The sequence below is a fragment of the Homo sapiens genome, chromosome 11 (assembly GCF_000001405.40).
Source record: "Homo sapiens chromosome 11, GRCh38.p14 Primary Assembly".
In the NCBI taxonomy this organism is placed as follows: Eukaryota; Metazoa; Chordata; class Mammalia; order Primates; family Hominidae; genus Homo; species Homo sapiens.
The window spans coordinates 8797380-8821354 of NC_000011.10; the positions used below are offsets into that span (position 1 = coordinate 8797380).

At 46.0% G+C, this 23975-nt stretch overlaps 1 protein-coding gene and 1 long non-coding RNA gene across 24 annotated transcripts in view, besides 2 other annotated features; one reads left to right on the forward strand and one right to left on the reverse strand.

Annotated features, from left to right (window-relative positions):
* Positions 1–12897, forward strand: part of DENND2B-AS1 (DENND2B antisense RNA 1) — a 41499-nt gene extending 28602 nt beyond the window's left edge. Inside the window, exon 5 of the long non-coding RNA NR_120590.1 lies at positions 12698–12897. This is a non-coding gene — a long non-coding RNA (DENND2B antisense RNA 1). The remainder of the gene's footprint in view (positions 1–12697) is intronic.
* Positions 1–23975, reverse strand: part of DENND2B (DENN domain containing 2B) — a 217600-nt gene that overhangs the window by 104028 nt on the left and 89597 nt on the right. For 16 of the 23 annotated variants that reach the window (NR_164816.1, NR_164815.1, NR_164817.1 and 13 more), the window contains exon 1: positions 13138–13295. The gene's annotated coding sequence lies outside the window, so the exon portion shown is untranslated. Of the gene's footprint in view, positions 1–13137; positions 13296–13867; positions 13957–23975 lie in introns of those variants that run through there. The other 7 variants (NR_164822.1, NR_164814.1, NM_005418.4 and 4 more) reach the window with 1 other exon arrangement.
* Positions 8217–8718: an enhancer, noted in NCBI's record as "H3K4me1 hESC enhancer chr11:8827143-8827644 (GRCh37/hg19 assembly coordinates)". NCBI's record gives its function as "activates a minimal SCP1, AML or CMV promoter by ChIP-STARR-seq in naive H9 embryonic stem cells {active_cell/tissue: H9 hESC(naive)}" and the evidence as "EXISTENCE:reporter gene assay evidence [ECO:0000049][PMID:30033119]".
* Positions 8719–9218: an enhancer, noted in NCBI's record as "H3K4me1 hESC enhancer chr11:8827645-8828144 (GRCh37/hg19 assembly coordinates)". NCBI's record gives its function as "activates a minimal SCP1, AML or CMV promoter by ChIP-STARR-seq in naive H9 embryonic stem cells {active_cell/tissue: H9 hESC(naive)}" and the evidence as "EXISTENCE:reporter gene assay evidence [ECO:0000049][PMID:30033119]".

Below are 23975 nucleotides of genomic sequence, written 5' to 3' on the forward strand. Positions count from 1 at the left end.
GTATGTCTATGCCCACTTCAGATCCCTTCTGTTTCCTCATATTCTTATCCCCTTCCCCCTTCTTCCCCCTTCTTCCTCCTTCTTCCCCTTTCTTCCCCTTCTTCCCTCTTCTTTCTTCCCCCTTCTTCCCACTTCCCTCTTCCCCCTTCCCCCTTTCCCCCTTTCCTCTTCTCTTCTCTTCTCTGAGACAGAGTCTTGCTCTGTCTCTTCTCTTCTATTCTTTTCTCTGAGAAAGAGTCTTGCTCTGTTGCCCAGGCTGGAGTGCCATGATCATAGCTCACTGAAGCTTCAAACTCTTGGGTTCCAGCGATCCTCCCGCTTCAGCCTCCCAAAGTGTGGGGGTTACAGGCATGAGCCACCATGCCCAGCACCCTACTCTTTTTCCTGATTCTTCTCCATCAGATTCAATGTTCCTCTCTCTCCCTCTCAAATTTCCATACCTTATCCCAAGTTGTGCCACCATCCTCCACCCCGACACCCCCTTGCTCCCTACATTCTAACAATGATGACTTCCTAGGTGTCCTTTCTGCATGTCAAGCTCTTTCCTACCTCAGGAGCTTTGACAGCTGTTCCCTTTTCCAGAAAGGAACTTTCCCCAAATCTGCACATTAACGGCTTCTTCTCATCCTTGAGCTCACAGTTCAAACGTCATTCTCAGAGGCCTTCTCTAACCTCTCAGGTCCCTGTTACTCTCTCTTTTACATCACCATTATATCCTTCCGAGCTCACAGCACTATCTTGATCTCATCTATTGATTTGTTTACTTGTTTACTGAAATGCTTCCCCACTCACTACACGTCAAGCTCCATGACAACAAGGACTTCAATGTCTTAGTTATCTCTACCTCCTCGGCATACAGAACAAAACCTAGAACAGAAGGAATGCTCCATAAATATTTATTGGATGAATAAATACATTCAGTTTCCGAAGCAAGAGAGGCAGAGTTAGATTCCCCCTCACTCCTTCGCTTTCTCTAACTGGTGACAGTAGAAGATGGAATCCCAGGGAAAGATTGTAAATTAAAAAGAGAACAGACTGAGGATTAACTTTTGGGGAACACCAAAAAATAAAAGCCATCCCAACCCCCCCAATGACAAAACATTAAGGGCTATCAGGGACCCAGGAGGATGGCACAGGTGTTGCAGTCTCCACCGCCTTTTTTTGTTTCTACAGCTTTCCAGAAGAAGCTCAGCTTCTTCCTGCAAGGCCATGTAGACATCTGGCCTTCGGTGTTTTTCAGATGAAAAGAAGTCTGGATATCACTGCTTTGAAAACCCATCTGGGCACATAAGCAGAATAGGCACCTACATCTAAATGGAGGGAAAAAAAACCCACCTGGGTTTACCAAACAGTTGTGGGTCCTGCAACTGGAGGGGGTAGGAAAGAAAATAAAAAGGCTTTTCTATTTCCACTTAATGAGATTTAAATAAAACAACAATTTCCGGTTGCTTTTTTTTTTTTTTTTTAGACGGAGTTTCACTCTTGTTGCCCAGGCTGGAGTGAAACAGCACAATCTCAGCTCACTGCAAACTCCGCCTCCCAGGTTCAAGTAATTCTCCTGTCTCAGCCTCCCAAGTAGCTGGGATTACAGGCACCGGCCACCACACCCGGCTAATTTTGTATTTAGAGACAAGGTTTCACCATGTTGGCCAGGCTGGTCTTGAACTCCTGACCTCAAGTAATCCACCCACTTCAGCCTCCTAAAGTGCTGGGATTACAGGCCTGAGCCATTGCACCCTGCCCTGGTTGCTTTCTTTTTAACCTGGATCCCTGCCACTTCCCCCTGGGTACTTATTAGAGTTCAGTTGACAAAACCAATAGCCCTTCTTACCTCCAATATCTTCACAACTGGCTCTCCCAGCACAGCCAAGCCAAGAGCAAACCCTGAGCATCAGTGATGACTCAAATGCAGAGAGGCAGGGACTCGGAAAGGACAGTGCTACCTGTTCCATTTATGTTTCAACCCAAAGGGATAAGTCAATCAGGAGGTTGGAGAGAGGCAGAGAACATAAGAAACTTCAGTATTTTCTTTCCTTTCTAGATTCAAAAGCCTCAATTCTCAGAACATACCAGCCAGAGTCCAAGCCACAGACTGCAAACCAAGGTCACTGCCATTGCCAAGCTTGTCTCACATGTCCTAGCTATTTTCTTCTCACACTCATGTACCATCCTCCTTTTTCTCTTTTTTTTTTTTTTTTTTTTTTAAGAGACAGTGTCTTGCTATGTTGCTCAGGCTGGAGTGCAGTGTGTATTCACAGGTGTGATCATTGCGCAGGACAGCCTCAAACTCATGGGCTCAAGCAGTCCTCCTGCCTCAGCTTCCTAAGCAGATGGGACTACAGGTGCCCAAAACCAGAGCACACTCCTTTATAGTTGCTGGGGTCATTCAAGTTCCTTAATTTCCTTTCCCTACTGGCATTCCTTTTTGCTAAGTGGCAAAGTATATACACACAAGTCAGACCTTTTTGTCCTAAGGTCTTTGCAAATGAGTACAAAGTTCCACGTGTAGTGTCTACAGTCCTCAGTCTTCACCATGTATTTATTATTATTATTATTATTATTATTATTATTATTATTATTATTATTATTTTAGAGACAGGATCTTGCTCTGTCACCCAGGCTAGAGTGCAGTGGCACAATCATAGCTCACTATAACCCTGAACTCCAGGGCTCAAGCAATCATTCCACCTCAGCCTCCCAAGTAGCTGGGACTACAGGCATGTGTTACCATGCTTGGTTAATTTCATTTATTTTGTAGAGATGGGGGTCTCATTATGTTGCCCAGGCTGGTTTCAAACTCCTGGCCTCAAACAATCCTCCTGCCCTGGCCTCCCAAAGTGTTAGGATTATAAGTGTGAGCCATTGCATTGTGTCCGGCCTTTACCATCTTTTAATTACTCCATCAGAACACATATTAGGTCACAAATTGCTAATAAACTAAATGGGAGGGAGATTCCAGCATAACTCTGCAAGGAAACTTACCTCCACTAAGGAGTACGGGGCACAGTTTTGGGAGCTCTATGCACCATCGAGGCTAAGCTTCTCCTGGTTCTACAAGGAGCTACTGTCGAATCTGAGCCCCTGCCTGTGGAAGCCTGCAGAAGTAAAAAAGCTGAAGAACAGGATGTTTGACCATCATCTAGAGTTTGGTCTTCTAAAGCAAAAATAACCTTACATTGTAAACACCCTCACTCAAAGAGAAAATTTGTGAAGCCTCTACTCTTAGGAACTCCCTATTCTGCCCTAGGCCTGTCTGGGCTCAGCAGGCCCATAAATTGGCACTGTTGATATGACCTTTCCAGGCTGTATTTCAACAAGAGATAACAACAAAGCTCAGAGCTTTGGTAGCACTCAAAGAAGATTTGAGGGACTTAAAACACATTGCTAAATTTGGCAGCAAAAGTTCCTGTTCCCTGAAGTTGCAAAAGAAAATCTCTTTATAATTTACACTTGTAGATAAGGAGCTATTCATTCTCTTTAGAAACAGATTAGAACCTCCTCATCCCAATCCACCACTCCTCTGAAAGAGGAGTGAGACTGCTGGGGCAAGTCTCACCTGGGGCTGGGATCAGGCTATCTCTTGGGAAGATGAAGTACCAGGAACTTACCTTGATGCCTCTTACTGCCTTAGCCACAAATGCCCAGAGACATTTGCCACTTCACTATCTAGAGCCGTCTATCTCCCTCACCCTCCCATCAGCCTTCCCAATTCCCATTCTGCTCTTTGACACTGGGTCTGCCATGTCCCTATCCCTGTTGTTCATACAACACATATTACTCCTCAGAGAGGGGCCCGCTCAGCCTAGAGGCTCTTTTGATTCAGCCAGACTCCCCTTCTGGTTTATAATTTCTTTACAAAAGCAAGGTACAGGAGCTCCGATCTATATGCTGACTGGGGGACGCTTATCACTGCTCTGCTGATACCGTCTGCCCAAGACACAGAAGAAGGGGATAGGGCCTTGCATTTCTCAGCAGAACAAACCCAACAGACAAGCCACAAAGAAATAAACACAGCTGCCTGGCGTGGTGGCTCACGCCTATAATCCTAGCACTTTGGGAGGCCGAGGCAGATGGAATGCCTGAGCTCAGGAGTTCGAGACCAGCCTGAGTAACATGGTGAAACCCCGTCTCTACTAAAATACAAAAAATTAGCTGGGCATGGCAGCATGCACCTATAATCTCAGCTACTCGGTAGGCTGAGACAGGAGAATTACTTGAATCCGGAAGGTAGAGGTTGCAGTGAGCCGAGATCGTGCCATTTCACTCCAGCCTAGGTGACAGGGCAAGACTTTGTCTCAAAAAAAAAAAAAAAAGAAAGAAAGAAACAAACAAACACTCCTGAGGCTGGGTGCAGTGGCTCACGTCTGTAATCCCAACACCTTGGAAAGCCGAGGTGGGCGGATCACTTGAGCTCAGTTCGAGACCAGCCTGGGCAACATGAAGAAACCCCATCTCTATAAAAAAAATTATAAAAATCAGCCAGGTGTGGTGCACATTTGTTACTCCAGAGGCTGAGGTGGGAGGATCGCTTGAGCCAGGGAGGCAGAAGTTGCAGTGAGCCAATATCGCACCACTGCACTCTAGCCTGTGTGACACAGTAAGGCCCTCTCTTGGGGAAAAAAAAAAAAAAAAAAAAAAGGGCCGGGTGCAGTGGCTCACACCTATAATCCCAGCACTTTGGGAGGCCTAGGCAGGTGTATCACCTGAGATCAGGAGTTCAAGACCAGCGTGGCTAATATGGCGAAACCCCATCGATACTAAAAATACAAAAATTAGCTGGGTGTGGTGGTACACACCTGTAGTCCCAGCTACTTGGAAGGCTGAGGCAGGAGAATCACTTGAACCCAGGAGATGGAAGTTGCAGTGAGCCGAGATCGTGCCACTGCACTCCAGCCTGGGCGACAGTGAGACTCTGTCTGGAAAAAAAAAAAAGGAACTAAACACTACTTGGTTTACAAGAGAATAATAAACAAAACAATAACTGCAAACATTTTGTTCAGCAAGGAGGCAGGAAGTACTATTCTAGGCACTTTACATTTGGCATTTAGGCTTTGTTACAGCCCCATGAGATAATGCTACCACTGCCTCAATTTTACGGAAGAGGAACCAGGGCACGGACAAGTAACTTGTCCAAGGTTACAGAGCTATTAGGTGGCAGAGGCAGAATTTGAACCCAATCTGACCCCAGAGCCCAGGCTCTAAACATTACTCTCCTATTGGATGGCTCTTCCCCTAAGACACAGATTTGCGTCTGGGCACTAACTGGCTCACCCTAAACTCTAAAGGAGAGGGGATTGCTCAGAAAACACTGGCATTTTTCGCCACTGAGAAAAGGAAACAGTGATGGAAATATTTATTCAAAGACCTGGTCTAAGGCTACAGAGCCAAACAAATAAGTACCCCAAACATCTGTTAACCAAAATTTTCCCAGGGCACCAAGAGAAACCTACCTTCTTACTTACTAAAGGCTGAGGCCTCCTTGTACTGCCCTACGCATTGGAGAACAAGCTTCCAGCCTCCGAGTTCTGAGAACCAAGTCAAAATGCTTCCTAGAATCTGGTTGATGGGGTTAAAGAAAAGTTACTCAAATATTTTTTAAGCACCAACTATATATGTTAGCCATTTGGGGAAATAAAAAGTATAAAATATTATACTTGATTTCATACAACTTCAAGGAATCTAGTTGAAAACACAAGATATACACATTTGAAAAGTCAAGTCAGGGCCAGGTGTGGTGGCTCACATCTGTACTCCCAGCACTTTGGAAGGCCAAGGCAAGCAGATCACTTGAGGGCAGGAGTTGGCCACCAGCCTGGCCAACATGGTGAAACCCCGTCTCTACTAAAAATACAAAAATTAGCCAGGTGTGGTGGCGCACATCTGTAATCCCAGCTACTGGGGAGGCTGAGGCAGGAGAATCGCTAGAACCCGGGAGGTGGAGGCTGCAGTGAGCCAAGATCATGCCACTGCACTCCAGCCTGGGCGACCGAGCGAGACTCTGTCTCAAAAAAAATGTCAAGTCAGGATGTCAATGAGAACACTGAATCCATGCCTTCTACTTTCTGGAAGAGGAGACTGAACCCTAGAGAAGTCAAGTTACTTCCCCAAGATCACCCAGCAAATTAGAGACAGAACCAGAACTAACATCCAGACCTGCTGACTACCTGGCTGGGACTTTCTACCGCTATATGTAGGCAGAGAAATTCACAGGAAGGATGGATTATTAACAACAGCAGCAGCTAACATTTATTGAGAGCATATTTGTGTCTACAACTAAGTCGAGTGCCTTACATAAATTAACACATTGAAACCTTACAATAACCCTTTGAGGTGGGTAATATTATCACTCCCAACTTACAGATGAAAACAGAGGTTTACAGAGATGAACTCACCAGAGGTCCACAGATAGAGGAAAAACCAGACTATGGACCCTCAGAGCTGGCTGCAAAGCCTATTCTATGCTCTAAGCTGCATCTGGAAGGGTACAAGGGCAGTATTTGTGGAAGCAGGGGTAAGGAGGGCTGAGGCAGAGGCCGGGGTCTGGAGCACTGAGAGCAGCTTGTGAAGGGCCTCCAATACCACACTGAGAAAGACCTCAGGGGCTCCACCTAGGCTGGCCAGCAGGAAAGGGGCAGGCGAGAAGCAGTTCTGGATGGACGGGTCTCCCCGTCTGTGAGGAGTGAGCATCCCACAGCAGGAGGAAAGAGCTGAACCTGTGAAGCTGGGTTGACAAGGACTACCTCAGACTCAGGACTTCTGGCCTCTCCAGTGTGGGCGGCTGCCGTGTCCTCAAAATCTCATTGGCCCCTACTCCTTCCTCTTAAAGGACACTCTCAAGTACCTTCCTAACGTGTAGGCCAGGTCTGAAAGGGCAGTCCTCCTTGGCTGCTGGTGACTTTCCAAAGCAATTGTCTTTCTCTCCCTACCTTGTCCATGGCTCCCTGTGCCCTTTCTTTGATCATTCTGCCTGATGCAGCAGCCATAAGACATGGGGAGCTGTCTGTCAAGTGGCAGGAACTGAACACAAGCAGCTTTGAGAGGTGGGGAGGAAATCCTGTGTTATTAGGAAATCTTGTATTATTACACACCCAGGACTGCACAGACCCCAGACCAGACTACCTGGGGTCTTGACAGAAAGATGAACGAGATGCAAAATAGCAGCTACTTCTTTTTTTTTTTTTTTGAGACGAAGTCTTGCTCTGTCGCCCAGGCTGGAGTGCAGTGGTGCGATCTCAGCTCACTGCAACCTCCGCCTCCCAGGTTCAAGCTGTTCTCCTACCTCAGCCTCCCGAGTAGCTGGGATTACTGATACACACCACTATGCCCGGCCAGTTTTTGTATTTTTAGTAGAGACAGGGTTTTACCATATTGGCCAGGCTGGTCTCAAACACCGACCTCAAGTGATCCACCCACCTCGGCCTCCCAAAGCGCTGGGATTACAGACGTGAGCCACTGCGCCCAACCAGCAGCTACTTCTAAAAGAAGAATCTGGTTTGTTCCCAGCGTAGTAACATCAACCTGTTTGAGAGACACCAGCCCACTCTCTTCAAAATGCTGCTGTAAGTTGATAATAATATACTGGAAAGCATTGGACATTTACTATGTACCAGGCACTGGCCTATTTACAGGTATCATTTCATTTAATCCTTACCACAACTCTATCAAGTCAAGTACTATTACATCCATTCTACAGATGCCTCAAAGAAGGCTGATGCACAGAGAGATTAAATAACCTGCCCAAGGTCACACAGCAAGGTCAGGCTCTAAAGCTAGGCCTCTAAGACCCCTGAGCTATAGCTGTTCATCACTGCAGTGCACTGCAATGCATGTCAGATACTCATATTAAATGCAAATGGTTCCATCAGAATTGCTCTAAGGCAGCACCACGCACTCACTGAGTACCTAAGAGTCACTGAGAGTTGAACAAACACACCACAGGCTAGTTCATTTTAAAACCATCTACAATACTCAGTTGTCAGAACTCCATAAGGTAGCCTGTGTTCCAAGTCACAAGCACACCAAAAGTCAGTTCCTCGAACAAAACTAGAGTTTTAAAAATAGCTGACTTGATAGTTTTTTTCCAACTTTCCCATTTCCCCTTTCCTATGACTCCCTCCCACATACACCATCCTTTGACACTGTCAAGAGAAGCTTCAACACAGGCCTAGAATCCTCACCCTCCTACTTCCAGTCCTTCAGTTGGCTCTCTTCCTTCATTCGAATCGTGCTTGAAATCAGTCTGTTGGACCCTCCTCCTTTTTCCCAGCCTAAGAGCATGAGATGGTCATTAACCCTACCATCAAAACTCAGAACTGCAGCAGGTCTATGCTGCTTCTCTCTTAATCACACAGACAGAGTGGGGGAGAGAGGGGAAGAAATAACTACAACACAACGTCTATTATAACATGACATAGATGGGAGTAAGGCCCATACTTGATACTTCTGCGTTCCTCCCCAGCTCTTGGCCCAGACACTCCGTATTCACTGACTAAATGGGTGAACAGACCAATACTGCATAGATGGGCACCAGAGACACCTCTGAGCCAAGAACAAACAAACAGAGGTGTTAACCCTAATGCCAGCCACCCCTACCCCCTCCAGTGCTTCTGAGGGCCTGCACGACACTGTCACCCTGAGCTCCCTGGGGGCAGTCTGGCCTTCTGCTAAATTGTGTAGGCCTCCGAGGTCAGCCCTTCTCTCGATTACCACCTGCTGCTCCTGAGAACTGCCTCCGCCCAGGGCCCCTTGCCCAGTGCCTCACTCCTGCTTCCTTCCAGTAGTCTTCCTCCTGCCTCAGATCTTGTCTCCCGTAACCCTCAGTTTATCTCATTTTTTCCCAGTTCCAAATAATCCTCCATCCACTATGTGATTTCCAACAGTCCATCTCCAGCTCACACACAACCCCTTTGGTGATGACAGGTCACACAGAGGAAGAGTCTGGAGCTTTGAGAAACTGTGGTGGTTTCGTGACAAGCCTGTAGGAATAGGTCTGCTTTGGTTAAGAAGGCTTCATACGCTAACTGCATATAATTCACTCTTTTATAAGGACAGTGAAATCTAACATTCAGGCAGTTTTAGATGAGAAGAGTATAGTGATAGTTTCAACACCCTCCCCAACAACAGTACATTCATGACATCAGAGCCAAAAAAATAAGAGAAGGGGTCTTTGGAGAAATTCTTCAATAAGGTAATCTAGACTCATTTAACACCCTCCTCTCCCTTCAAAACACACACACACACACACACACACACACACACACCCAGGAGAGCTTTCTGGGGCCTATGGCTAGAAATAGAGAGCTCAGGTGTTTCTATCAGCACAATATTACGTGGCATATTCCTCTAAGACAGATGCACCCAGTAGTTCCTCCGACCCACCTACTGAGACAGACACACATAGCACCTCCCCTCCAGGATGAAACAAATGCCTAGCCTCCCCAGCCCCTGCCTCCCCAGGAGAAGGCACACACTAATGCAAGTTTTCCCATAGGCTTTAAAGACAAATCTCTGCAGACTATGCCAGATGGTCTTTTTTTTTTTTCTTTTTCTTTTTTCGCTCTATGCCCTCCTGGCCCCTTCTCCACTTTCCATGGTCCCTCCAACTCAAAGAACTCAATTATCTGCCTGCAGATTTCCCCTTCCCCTCCTCGCAGCCTGCCCTAAACACACCCTCCTCCCAAGCCCATGCAGAGGCACAGAAGGAAGGCCAAGCCAGGGCTCGGAAGGGCTGCTGCCAGGCCTCCTCCAGCCTCAACTATGTGTTCCCCGGGCTTGGCTGCCTCGGCCGACTCTCTTAGGCCCAACGATGGAAATGGGGACGTTTCCAGGGCAATGACAGTTAACAGCTAAGAGGAGTGACAGGAAGGAAGATGTATTCTTCAATCCTTCAGTCCCAACTGCCCCACAGGGAGGTGCTTCAGAAGGCCCAGGCCTCAGAGCCTCCCATCTCCCTGAGGTGCCAGGTGGACCTCCCGTAATGCAGTTCTTAGAATCAGATGCGGTGGGGAGTGGGGCACAGCCTCTCTTAGGTCTAGGCTACCAGTGGGGCCATGATACTTGGATTGCCCTCCTGAATCTGTACACCCCGCCCTTCATTCCAGGGAAAGAGGCTGAACCAGCAGAACCAAGGGTGTCCTTGGCCTGTTCTCCAGTGTATTTCAAAGTTTCATCTTCCCGGGGTGACTGATATCTAATTTGAGAGAGAGAGAGCCCAAGGGGAGAAGGTACAGGAAGCGGAGTAGAAGGAGGAAAGAGGGAGTGAGAACAGGAATGTTACTTTTTAATCCTTAAGGAACATAGACAGATCCAATTTGTGACTCAGCTCTGGGAAGCCGGACTGATGGGAGTCGGGGAACAGCTGCAGCCCCAATCTAAGCTGTGGGCAGCTTCTCCTTCAGGCCTTAGAGGCTGTTGTGACATGACTCAACTAGAAGGGGAGCTGCTTGTTTTGTTTCATTTTTTTAATCTGCCTACTATGGGTCTGCTCAAGGGCTTCTTCCCAGACACCACTCCGGGATATGGCTGGCAGGTCTTCCCCATCCTACAGTAAAGCTGGGGCTGTGGGTGACGCGCTCTAGTATGCCATACGCCCTTTCGACTCAATGAGGACAGACCTGGGACTCTCCTTGCCTGGAGTCTCCCTTCCCCTGCTCTTCCATTCCTTGGCACAGTCCCATGGCATATCAAGAATCTCTGCCCTTGGAATTCCCACTTCCTTGTTTCTTTTTCTTTCCCCATAAGCTGTGGCCTTATGAGTTCCTGAAAGACCTGCCCAGCCCCCAAGAAGCCTTTCGGAGCAATAACACTTTCTCCCAGTTAGAACCCTGCCTTCTAAACCCAGAATGAAGGAGAAAGACCCCTTTGCCCACTGCAGAGTGTGCCCAGCAGGACCCAGCAGGATGAGGGAACCAGGCCTGGCCTCTTTTCCAGCTGCTAAAGTTTATGGTGCCACAACTCTACAGGCAGCTGTGGGACACAGGAAAAGCGACGGGTCTTTTGGAATACCTCTCCTCTATACTATATATAAACACATGAGTCAGGTGACCAAGGAAAGCTTCCTCCCTGCAGGATCGTCTATGAGGCTCCAGTTTTATGGCAAACATCACTCTTATGAAACGACCCAACCCAAGGAAAGCAACATTTGTTTCCTTAAACATCCTGAAGAAGTCTTTTCAGATTTTTCTCATGTTTACTTATAAATGCAGAAAGGAAGAAGGCACTTTATAAAATGAGAGAACCAGAACAGAGAGGCAAAGTGACTTTCCAGAGAGAGTTGGGTCATTCCTCAAGCTTCAATTCACAACACGGTTCGTTAGATAGGACGTGACTTGTTTCAAACTACTTTCATGGAAGTTATCCCACTGGCTCCTCCCAACAGTCCTGTGAAGTTGTTCTTATTACCTCCATCTCACAGGTAAGAATCTGAAGCTCCTATTAGTTAAGATACTTGCCCGTGGCCGCCCTATGGGAACAGAATCTAGCCGTCGACTCAAGTCTAGCAACCCAAATCCATTATTCTTTCTGCTATACCAACAGAAGGAGCAGCAGCTCCTGAAACTGGGTCTCTGCTAGCCCTCTTCACAGATGTGGGGATGGTAAAATTGAAGAGCTCCAACTACACACACAAGTAGAAAAGAAGGCTGAGGTTCTGGATTTACACTGCCAACTGAAGGGGCCACTGGCTCAGTGTTATGCCACATCCCTCCAGCAAAATGTAGGTTTCAACTAAGCAAAGGATCCCTGGAGTGTATGTAGCAAGAGGAATAACTTCAGAAGTGGACCGTCTGAGGTCCAGGGCCATGGAGTTCACCCTTGTGGACCCTCAGGCCACAACCACGATGTATACATGTACTCATTTTAGGGAGCCGGAACTGGGGACATGGCCAGTGCTTGCATTGGCAAGCTGATCCGAAGTTAATCAGAATGCCCCCTCATTGTTTGCCAGAATACAAAAGACATTCTGTTCAGAAAGTTCAAGAAGAAAAACTGAAGAACCAGGACAGCAGCTGTTCCCTCATCCCACAGAGAAACCAAAGGCATTTGCAAAGTTCCCTGAGGCCAAGAAGTGAATTTAAGACATAACATGGCTCAAGTGGAAGCACAACCCCTGATGGGTCTCCGTTGCAGGAAGTGTTTGCTGCATTCATCCTCCTCATAATATTACTGACAACCCCACTACCCTATCACCTATAAAACTGCCTTTCTGGGAGGGTCTCCTTTCCAAGGCCACACAGCTCACCATGTACCACTCCTCTAGGTCAGAACAAGTTTTACCAAAACTTAGGACAATCAGTGTAGGAGTGCACAGCGTGGACACTGCGTGCCCTGAGATTTGGTCAAAATGTAACCAAAGGAATCCACCCGGCACAACTACAGTGCCTCATGTTCCCCAGCTCTTAGCAGCTGCTGCTGAGAGCTCACTCTGGGACATCTGGATGAGAAACCTGTTTGCAGGCCCCCCAACCCCAAGCCAGCCCCCTCCTCCACCTCTTAGGAAAGTCTGTGATCGACCTTTTGATGTGGGAGGACAGCTTGATTCTTACCAAGCTGCCTGGAAGAGAGAGAGTGCAAAACCCCAGCTCAGGCATCCCTGTGACAGTCCCTCTGTCCTAATAAATGCTCTAGAGGGACTTGGAACTCACCACAGGCTCCTGGCTGAGCTTAATTAGCCTTTTTTTTTTTTTTTTTTCCATTACAGGTCAGACATAGCAGCACCAAGAGACAAAACAGACAGTGTTCACTAGGACGAACAAGCGGCTCAAAAGGCACTGGAGTTTCCCTGTAAGAACTACAAACACCACGGGAGTGATGTTAACTCAGATTTTTCCATATAAAAGATTCTTCCTGTAAAAATATCCTGTGCCTTTGTGCTAAATAAAAGTAAAATGATGCTTTTTAGAGTGAAGTCTAAACACCTCAGATTCAGCAAGAGTGAGATCAGCTAGATTTGCAAAGTCAAGAAAATTGGCTGTTTCCCTCCTCCTTAAGCTAATAGAATCCAACTGTTGGAGCATGACATCATTCCTGAGCCCCAAACCCCGAGCAGAGACTACAGACACTCGCCTGACTCCCAGAAAACAGCCGGAGAGAAGGGCCAGGAAAGGAGGCCAAATGATCCCAGCCCGGAGCTGCCCTTACCTGAAAGTCCCGCTGCTTTCCTGCCCACTCCATTCTCACACCGCAGCCGGCTAGGGAGCCCAGGGCCCCCAAATCCACTGGCTTAAGCTCCGATACCTGCTGCGAGCTTCCCACAGCTCCTTCCTCTGACCTTTCGTGGCGCTCCTCGCAGCCAAGTGAGCAGAGCACTGCTAGCCGGCCAGGCCGGTTGTCATGGAGACCCTGTCCTCGCTAGGCGGGCGCGCGCACAGCGGCGCGCTCTTGGCCTAGCGCGTGCACAAGGGCGCTCTCTTTTTCTTTCTTTCTCACTGTCTCTCTCTCTCTCTCTCTCTCTCTCTCTCTCTCAGTTCTGGGAGGCTTCCATGAAACAGCACTGTCTTTTGATCAGCTCGGTTTTTGCATGCATTCCACTCCTCCTACCTCCCTTCCAGTCCAACAGGGGCTCTGAACTGCTCCTGGGAACTTGCTTGAACAGCTCAGAGGGGAGAAGGGAGAAGACAGTGAGTGGACTTGTTTTCTTCCCCTCCAGTGTCTCATTTTTTATAACTTGGAAGAATCCCTGCCAGGGGGGAGGGAGCTAGCTGAAGCGCTTGAAGGGGACCCAGCTTCCTCTGGGTCCTGGAGCTCGGGTAGGAGGGACCCTGATGCGCTGCCTTGACTTGTTTGTGCACTTGGGATTTTTCCGGGCAGCAGTTGGGGCGGAAATGCACTCACATCCCAGGAGCTCGCCTGGACTGGCCTCTCTGCTTACCTTGCTGCCTGTCCAGGTTGTGGCGATGGCTTTAACCAGTGCAGGGACTCATGGTACTAGTGGTGGCGCCTAAGCAGTCTCTCATCTTCCTGAAATGGAGAGCAAAGACAACTCGGTCAGGACCAGGAAGAATCCTGGGCAAGTCGAGAGTCACAACCCAGACGACAAACCTGATACAAATACAGCCTTGTCTCTCTGCCCTGCTAAGGATCTGCAGCTAAGGTGCAGGCTTAGTGGGAGCTGCTGTCACAGTCGGTAATAATATTGCTCCTGTCAGAAAATGAGCACAGTCCCTGGGACACGGCAGACCCCCTAAGTTTAGTCCCATCCCCATCCCCATCCTGTCCCTTCCTCTCCCCCCTACCCAGCATACATTTCTGCTTTGTAACATTCTTTTTACATGTATCATTTTGTTTGATCCTCATAACCTTTTGAAATACACTGCACAGATATTTTTATGACCATTTTTTCAAGTTTATTTATTATTCTTCTTAAATTTCTTTTAGAGACAGGATCTTGCTCCATTGCCCAAGCTGGAATGCATTGGTGCAATCATAGCTCACTACATCATCAAACTCCTGGGCTCAAACAACCCTCCTGCCTCAGCCTCTGAAGTAGCTGGGACTACAGGCATGCACCACCACGCCTGGCTACTTTTTTAATTTTTATTTTTATAGAGACAGGGTCTCACTATGTTGCCCAGGCTGGTTTTGAACTCCTGGCTTCACGCAATCCTCCTGCCTCAGCCTCTCAAAGTGCTGGGATTACAGGCGTGAGCCAGCATACTGGCCTTATGACCATTTTATAGATGGAAAAACTGAGACTCAGAGAGATTAAACATTTGATCTGCACTTATACAGTTAGGCAGTCAAAGAACTAAGAGATCAGCCAAGTTCGCCCTAGTCCAGCACACTTTCAACTAAAGTATATTGCCACCTGATTTCAAAAACTGTCAACTTTTTGATAACTGGTTATGAGATAACGCTGGGCTCCCAAGGGAAGGTGGAGAATCCTTGTAAGTTGTGGCGAGATAGGCTGACTACCATCCTTTCAGCCTAAAGACCTTAAGACAGCATCTCTAAGATGTAAAACGTCCTGATGCACAGCTCGGAGAAAAAGCCCTACCCTACAGCTATATGTGACCTTGCACTTTTCTAAACGACTCTCAAAATCTTGGCTCGTCTGTTCAACATGACAGGTCTGAAAGTTAGGATTGGCATTATTATACTAATTTAACAGATTTTTTTTTTTTAATTCTACAACAGAAGTAAAATTACTTGCCCCAGGTCATGGAACCAGGAAATAAAATCTAGAAACAATCCCCAAGCCTTTCAAGTCTCTTGAGTACATTAAGCACAGTGGTTGCAACAGCACCAGGGGTCAGAAGACCTTGGCAGTGCCTGACTCCACCACTAACGGGCCATGTGCCATTGGGCAAGTCCCATGACTTCCCCCTTTCCACCTACAGAGCCTACTGACAGGGCTGGGACTGAGCATCGGAAGAGATGCTGTCCGTGAAAGCACTCTCAAGTCAGGAACTGAACTAAGAACTTTACTCCTCTTGACAACTCCTCACCAAAAACAAACAAAAAACACTGGGACAGTTAATACCCTCCCCAGGATGAGGACACTGAGGCTTAAGGAGGATATTTTCCAATGCTGCTCCCAAAAACAGTGCTCCCAAAAAAAAGGTCCTGATGTTATTTATTTATTTATTTATTGACACGAGGTCTTATTATGTTGCCCAGGCTGGTCTTGAACTCCTGAGCTCAAGCAATCCTCCCACCTCAGACTCCTGAGTAGCTGGGATTATAGGTGTGTACTACCACACCCAGCCTGATAGAATCTTTAATGCAACATCCTATGCAGAATCTAGTGGGTTTTTTTCATTAATTTCCAGCATATCACAACATTCTCAAAACAAGATTCTGATTGACTTGAGTTTAAAAGGTAAATATATACCAGAAGTTAAGGTAGGAAAGTGTTATAAAATCCAACAGGAAATGACAGAATGGCACAAATCCTAAATGGGGGGCACTACTGCTTTAGTGAAGCAATCAGAGCTTGAAAGGGAGTGAACCTAATCACCCACTATAAATCCCCAACCCCACCCAAGCCCCAGCTGAAGAATCCCAAGTCTACAAAGAAAGACAAAGAAAGACAAGACAGAAGGGCAAATGCAGTATCATCAAATCACTAAATTTCCGCCTCTTCCTTGTCCAAAAGGCATCCCTCTGCTCTCCTCCTGATCCTCAAAATGCACATTCCACTTGCCCAGTCTCCATCCTGAGAAAGAAGGGGTGATCCCACCCCTTTCTATAATAAGATAATATTAATAATACAGTAGTAACATCAGTTAACACTTGTTGAGCACCTACCATATGCCAGGCATTCTTTTAAGCAGTATGAGGGGCCAGGGGTCAGGACTGAGTACTAGAACTGATACAAGTCAGTTCCTGAAGTAATCCAAACTTAAGAAGCCCTCCAAACCAGACCCAGAATGCGGGCCATGCTCCCCCTAGTGGCATGCTGGAGTTATGGAGGTTCCTTAGGGCCTTGTCCTGGGGGAAGGGACAAAGGAAGGGCCCCATTACTGAGAGAACTGGAATCCCTGCTTGGGTAATGCTACTGTGTACACACTCCTTGAACTGGGCAGAGTCAGGGACAGCTGAATCCCACCACTGCCTCTGCAAGGCTGGATTTAGACCAATCCTACCTGACCCTTCTGAAGGATAAGGATTTGACAACCTTATATAAGCTCTCTGCTGTCTACTGAGAGGCCTGCAAGCATACATGTGCCAGAAACCTGGGAGACATCCTCAACTCTCCCTTCTTATTTCTGCCCACATCCAACCCATTTCCCAACTGCAAACAATTCTACTTCCAAAATATATCTTTTATCTGTCCACTTTTCTCCACCTCTGATGCTACCCATCTCTCACCTTAATTATTGCAAAAACCTCCTAATTGCCCCAGCTTCCACTCTCCCCTCACAAAGTCATTAGAGCTGTCTGAATCACCTTTTTTTTTTTTTTTTTTAACACCAGATCAGGTCATTTCCTGCTTAACACACTTCATTGACTTCCCACTACACTTAAGATAAAATCTAACTTCTTACCAGGACCTACAAGGCCCAGCATGATTCTCCTCCTGCCTTCTTTCAGCACACTTCCTGCCCTTCCCTGTCTGTGCATCAGCCACATACAACTGCTTTTAGTTCCCCTGAGGTGTCATATTTTTTCCAGGTTGTTTCCCGTTGCTGGGACACTCCCCTACCAAGCAGTCTTTGCCTGGATAGCTCTTACTCACCTTGCCTCACCTTGACTCTCCTGTCTCTTGACTTTCACAATCCTCCAATCTAAATGAGGCTCCCCACACTTATCCTTCAGAGCACTCACCATGCTGTGTAATTATGCATTTATACAGTTATCTGCTTAATCTCAGTCTTCCCTCAGAAGAGTTCCTTAGGATACGAACCTTGACTATTTTGCTAACCACCAATATTCCCTGCACTTTGTGCAGGGCCCAGCTCACAGCTGGCACTCAATAAATATCTGCTGAATGAAATGCATAAAACCCCATTTCTTCCTGTCCGACAGGAAGAAGAAACTTAGAGCAGCTATTTCATGTCACTCATTGCCTCTTTTCATCGACTTACAAACTATAATTACATTTCTTTTCCTCATGTGCCTTGCCTGTGGGCACAACCAAAAATTCCTGTAAAGCCTCCCTGTGGTTTGTTTCCCAGAACTTTCCTGGTAAGGTCACTCTCCTGGGGCTGCCCTCCAGGGTTTTACAGCTGCTCCCATTACCAGTGCCCACTCACAGGCCTCCACCACCACCGGGTCATTGCCAGACCACTGTGTAGGAATGGCCCAGCTCCCACGATGACAAGGTTCTCTCAGGCCAGCAGCTCCAAGGACAAAACACCTCCTCTCCCCTCCATGGTGCAAGACACTGTGCTTGTAAAAAAATACATTTTTACTAAAAAAAAAAGTCTTATGTTTCATAATTTGGAGATGGTTGTAAAAAGTTCAGAAAAAAAGGGTTCTCTTACTAAAAAGAATTTTGAACACTACAGTCTGGTGGAAAAATGAAGGTCTAAGTAACACCAACAGCAGTGTGACTACATCCAACGTTCCCTCTTCTGGCCTACGCTCCCACCCAAATCTGAAATCCTCTGGCTTCATCTCTTGCCCACACCTCCCCTGCTACCAACCACCCGATTACAGGCACAACCACAGTGCACTGCCTGGTTCTTTGAACACTGCCTGCATTTTCCTCTCCCTCCCTCTATGGCTCATGCTGTTACCTTTATCTGAATGCCTCTCCTTCCCCCACTAACAAAATCTTACTGCCTTCAAGGTCCAACTCATTTATCACCTCCTCTGTAAAATATTTTTCAATCTCCTGATAGAATCTGTTTGTCTCTTCTGCAAATCAACAGCAGTTTAAAGATGCCTTTACTATAGCGTTGATATCACTTTATCACTGTTACTTGCACACCTGTCTCCCCCACAGACCTGAGCTCCTCGAGGTGTATCCACTTTAGTATTTCATTCAATGTATGCAATAAGTGTGTGTGAGATAAACGAATCATTGAAAAGACTCTCCAAACAAACAAACAGAAACAGCTATTTCCTCTCTTAAGGTGAGGGAATTTGAGTGGATGGACCTACATTGTACAAGAAAATACATATATGTAAATCGGATTTTGGATTAGGTCACTAGAGGGGTTTATAGTACTTTCTTGTCTCTTTAAAGACAACTGAAATTCTGAACCTGAAAACACAGGAACAGAGTAAATCTTTTCAAGTCATTCCTTACTTTGGGATCAAAGAAATTCAAGTAAAATGGGCTGTTCTTTCAATATTATTGGTTGGATCTTAGAATGCCTAAGAAATGGCAGTCTAATTTCAAATGCCTCTGGGAAGCCTAGTTTCTAATGCCCCCCAGACTGGGGTCCAGTGGTATTCCCACTGAAAACATCCAGTTCTACCAAATTAATGGGTGATCAGGTCAAGTGCAGTGGCTCACACCTGTAATCCCAGCACTCTGGGAGGCTGGGGTGGGAGAATTGCTTGAGCCCAGGAGTTCAAGACTAGCCTGGGCAACATAAGGAAACCCTATCTTTACAAATAATAATTTTAAAAAATTGGCTGGGCATAGTGGCACACGCTTGTGGTCTCAGTTACTTGGGAGGCTGAAATGGGAGGATCGCTTGAGCCTGGGAGGTTAAGGCTGCAGAGAGACATCATCGCATCACTGCACTACAGCCTGGGTGACAGAGCAAAACTGTGTCTCAAAAAAAAAAAAAAAAGGTGGGGGGAATCAAACATATTCCTCTCCACCAATTCTCCTACACTGGGTTCTAGCTGCCATTTATAGAAGAGCCCTTAAGGGCTTTACAGTTTTCCTCTTCTGCCTGTGAATGGCAATGTGGTCAAGAGGGAAGCTTTTAAAATTCAAGAGTAGACAGCTAGCAGGCTGGAGCCCAGTCCTGGCTTCCAGCTTTCTGGAATGGTAAAATCCTAGGCAAGTCCCTGTCTCCCTTAGGGGCCTTTGCTTTTTCCTCCACATGAGAGGGCTGGACTAGCTGTTCAAGCATCCTTCGGCTTGACTGTCCTACTGCATCATTCTACGCAGTCACCCAGTCCTACTGCTTTCTAAGTCCAAAGCAGCAGAAAGACTCCTTTCAGCAGAGCCCCGGGCTTGGGGCTTTGGGATCAGACAGAGGTCCATCACCAATGAACAGTAGCCTTTTTTAGAAGAAAAAAAATGGAAGACTCAGGCTTCCTGCCTAAGGAGGGCTGGACAGAGAAGAAAGGTGCTAAATTACAGAATGGGGAAATTAGGAAATGGCCTGGAAGAGGACTAAGGCTCCTGCTGAGGTCCTTGCTCAGACTCACCCCTATCCATAAGTCTGAGACAAAGTTGCCTTTACAAAGCAGACATTGAACAGCTGACAATACCTAAGTTCTCTTGGAAGACAATCTGTCTACTGCAAATCAAGCATTCTCTACCTGGGTGCTATGAGGGCCTTCAGATCAACAAAACAAATGTCTTCCTCAAGATGGCAATCCTGGGCCCCCTCCACCTGGAAGCCACATCTGGCAGGACCTGCACAGTGTTGACCACTGCCACACAAACTTTGCTTGCACAGCCTTCCTAGGAAGGCAGAGAAATACCCATTCTGTGGTCAAGTCCTAGTGTTTTATGATAGGAAGTTTTCCCAGGTCCTTACTCCTGACCTAATTCCCCCTGCCTCTCCTACCACCAGCACCCCACCCCTGACCTTAAGGCTCTGAACTAGGGAAGTGTGGAATTCAGTCTATAATTCTTCTAGACCCCACAGCCCTGCAGTGAAGCAGCTACCACACACCTTCATGCTAGGTTGCGCCCCCTCTCCTTCAGTCTGCCAGTCATCCAGCCCTAGTTCACCTCCGCTCAGCTCACAACCCTCCGTATAAAGCTCAATGTCCAGATACTCACAACATAGGTACTCACAGCTTGCTTCAGTTTCTTGGAGTCTCTGTGATAACGTTAATATATAAGCCAATTTTCTGAAATCTCTCAAATCCACAGGCCCCTGACCACTGTCCCTTATTAAGTCGGAGCATGTTAACACTGGGCCACATAAACATAGGCTTCCAGCCAGGAAAGACTGGATCAAGGAAGCAATACCCTAGATCCCCATGAAAGCACCATTTTACCCTTCTAAAATAGGCTTTCTGGCCGGGCGTGGTGGCTCACACCTGTAATCCCAGCACTTTGGGAGGCCAAGGCTGGCAGATCACTTGAGGTCAGGAGTTTGAGACCAGCCTGGCCAACACGGCAAAACTCCGTCTCTACTAAAAATACACAAACTAGCCAGGCATGGTGGCAGGCGCCTGTAATCCCAGCTACTCAGGAGGCTAAGGTGGGAGAATCAGTTGAAACCTGGGAGGTGGGGGTTGCAGTGAGCTGAGATCACACCACCGTACTCCAGCCTGGGCAACACAGTGAGACTCTGTCTCTAATAATAATAATAATAATAATAGGCTTTCCAAGCTTAGCTAGCTCAGAACTCTGAGTTCAACAATGACCTTAACCTACCATGATTAAAATCTTCAGGATTGCGGAGGCAAGGTGCAAAGTGGAGGGAAAGGGAAGAGGTAGGGTATTAAGAGGAATGTGGACTCAAGCTGCTTTTCTATGATCTACCCAAGAAAATACCTTCAGCCTGGGAAAGAAGTACCCCTAAGAGTAAGATCTGGGCAAGGCTGTAGGAAGTGTGAGCCCAGACTGTGCCAACCTCCTCAATCCTAGCTCCCCTCATTCTCCCCGGCTAGACTGATTCTCTAGCCCTACCCCCCAGTACTCCTCAGAACAGGCTGCCACTCCAATGCCAGCCATGCCCCACTGCCTTGTGTGACTGCACCAAAGCTCATTCAGCTTAATTCTCCTGCTAGCTGTAATATTCTTTAGAGAAAGAACTATGTCTTAACTCTGAATTCTAGCTTAGGGCTGTGTACCACGTACAATTAATAAATTTTTAAATGAATGAACTAATAAAACCAACCAACTAATCAATCCAACTAAAAAGGGTATTAATAATGTCACCACAGAACCTAGACCATTTGATGCTTAACACCTCACAGTAGTCCAGAGTGTCCAAGATGGGGTGTGTATACAAGATGATTATAAGTGGTATATGGACAAACTTTTTTTAAGTTTTTAATACTTTTATATTACTTAATGTATAGAAGAACAAAGCCAGCTACTAACCTCATTATTACCAATCTCACTGATTAGATCAATACTAAAGAAGTTACGTTTTTTGTATGCTTTTAGTATTGTTTTATAGCAGGTAGAAGTTTAAGGAGAGGCGGGGCTTGGTGGCTCATGCCTGTAATTCCAACAATCTGAGAGGCCAAGACAGGAAGATCGCTTGAGCTCAGGAGTTTGAGACCAGCCTGGGCAACATGGCAAAACCCCCATCTCTACAAAAAATAAAAAACAGCCAGGCGTGGTGGCACACAGCTGTAGGCCTGGCTACTTTCGACACTGAGGTGGGAAGCTCACTTGAGCCTAGCAGGAGGTCAAGGCTGCAGTGGGCCATGATCATGCCACTGCACGCCACAGCCTGGGTGACAGAGTGAGACCTTGTCTCAAAAAAAAAAAAGTTTAAGATAAAATGGGATATTTGTGTAACCTCAAAGTATCTCTCCCAGAGTATTTATTAATTACAAAGGTAGAAATAACCTCACGGTGGAGAAATGGACACATATCACCTTAATCAAGTGATCAACGTTAACACCACAGGCAATAAAGACATAATGACACCACGTACCCCGATACCATGTGCTGAGAAGGGCATTTCACCTCTGTGGTGCTCTTCCCAAATCCATGACCTTGATCTAATTATGAGAAAACATGAAGTAAACCCAACCTAAGGGATATTCTACAAAATACCTGACCAGTACTCCTGAAAAGGGCCAGGGTCATGAAAGACAAGGACAGACTGAGGAATTGTCACAGATTAGAGGAGACTAAGGAGACGCAGCAACTAAATGCAACATGGGATCCTGGATTTGATCCTGGAATAGAAAAAGGAGTTTCGTAAGAAAAACTGGTGAAATCCCAGTAAGTCTATATCAATATCAATTTTAGTTTTGATCATTGTACTGTAGTTACACAAGATTAGGAGAATTTGTACTGCCATTGCAACTTTTCTCTAAGTCTAAAATTATTTAAAAGTAAAAAGTTTTTAAAAGCCAAATTTAAAGATAAGTAAATAAAAGTATATACAATACATGGTTACAGGAAAAAATCATAAAGGTAGGTAAGACTGACTCAAGTTTGGGAAGCACTAAAGTATTTACCCTACACCCAAGAAAAGTCGCCCCCAGAATGAGAATCACTGCTGTTGAAGAATATTTAGTAAAATAGGGAAATGTTCACTTTATATTACTTGGGGGTAAAATTAATAAATCATCCCTTTCTGTTAAAAAATATATATATCACATATATTACCCATAGAAAACAGTCTGTGTTAAAATAAAAATAACCTATGCTAAACAAAGCACAGATGACATTTATTAAATAGTAAATGGGATATGGCTTTTGGAAAGTAACTTATCAATTAAAATGCTCACAGACTTTGACTCAGTAGCCTCACTCAGGGAGAATATCCTAAGAGAAAATTCCTAAGTATGCAGAATAAATGTCTGTTTCCAGCACTATTTTTAATAATTTTAAGAATTAGAAACAATCTCCATATCAGTCATTCCTAGATTAGTATTTTTTTAAACCGCAACCCAATAAAGAATGTTTTACATTGTAATCTAGCATATGCATGTGTGAGAGGGTGTGTGTGTATGTGCATGTGTGTAAAAAACTGAACCAAAAAGGTTTCTCAAAACAACACTATCTTTACTGTATGTGATGCTCTCTGCTATTTTCAATCCTAATCTATGTTATTAAGAAATTAAGAAAACGAAGTACATAGAGCCCCACTAAACTGATTTCCTGACCCAATAATGGATTATGGCCCTTGGTCTGAAAAACTGCACTAGATGGACTATTGTGCAGCCATTGTAAGAGATGACTATGGCTGGGTGCAGCGGCTCACATCTGTAATCCCAGCACTTTGGGAGGCCAAGGTAGGTGGATCACTTGAGGTCAGGAGTTCGAGACCAGCCTGGCCAACACGGTGAAACCCCATCTATACCAAAAATACAAAAATTAGCCAGGCATGATGGCGCATGCCTTAATTCCAGCTACTTAGGAGGCCGAGGCATGAGAACTGCTTGAACCAGGAGGCAGAGGTTGCAGTGAGCTGAGATCGTGTTACTGCATTCCAGCCTGGGCAACAGAGCGAGACTCTGCCTCAAAAAAAAAAAAAAATTAATTAATTAATTTAATTTAATTTAAATTTAAAAAATTTAAAAGAAACTACTATAAACCACAAACTGGTAGCAGCAATTTGTTCTAAGGAGAAAAGAGGGTGGGAGGAAAACTTGCTTTTCACTGTATATCTTTTTGTACCTTTTGAATTTATAACACGTTTTTTATTTAAAAATTAACTAGCTGGCTCACACCAGTAATCCCAGCACTTTGGAAGGCC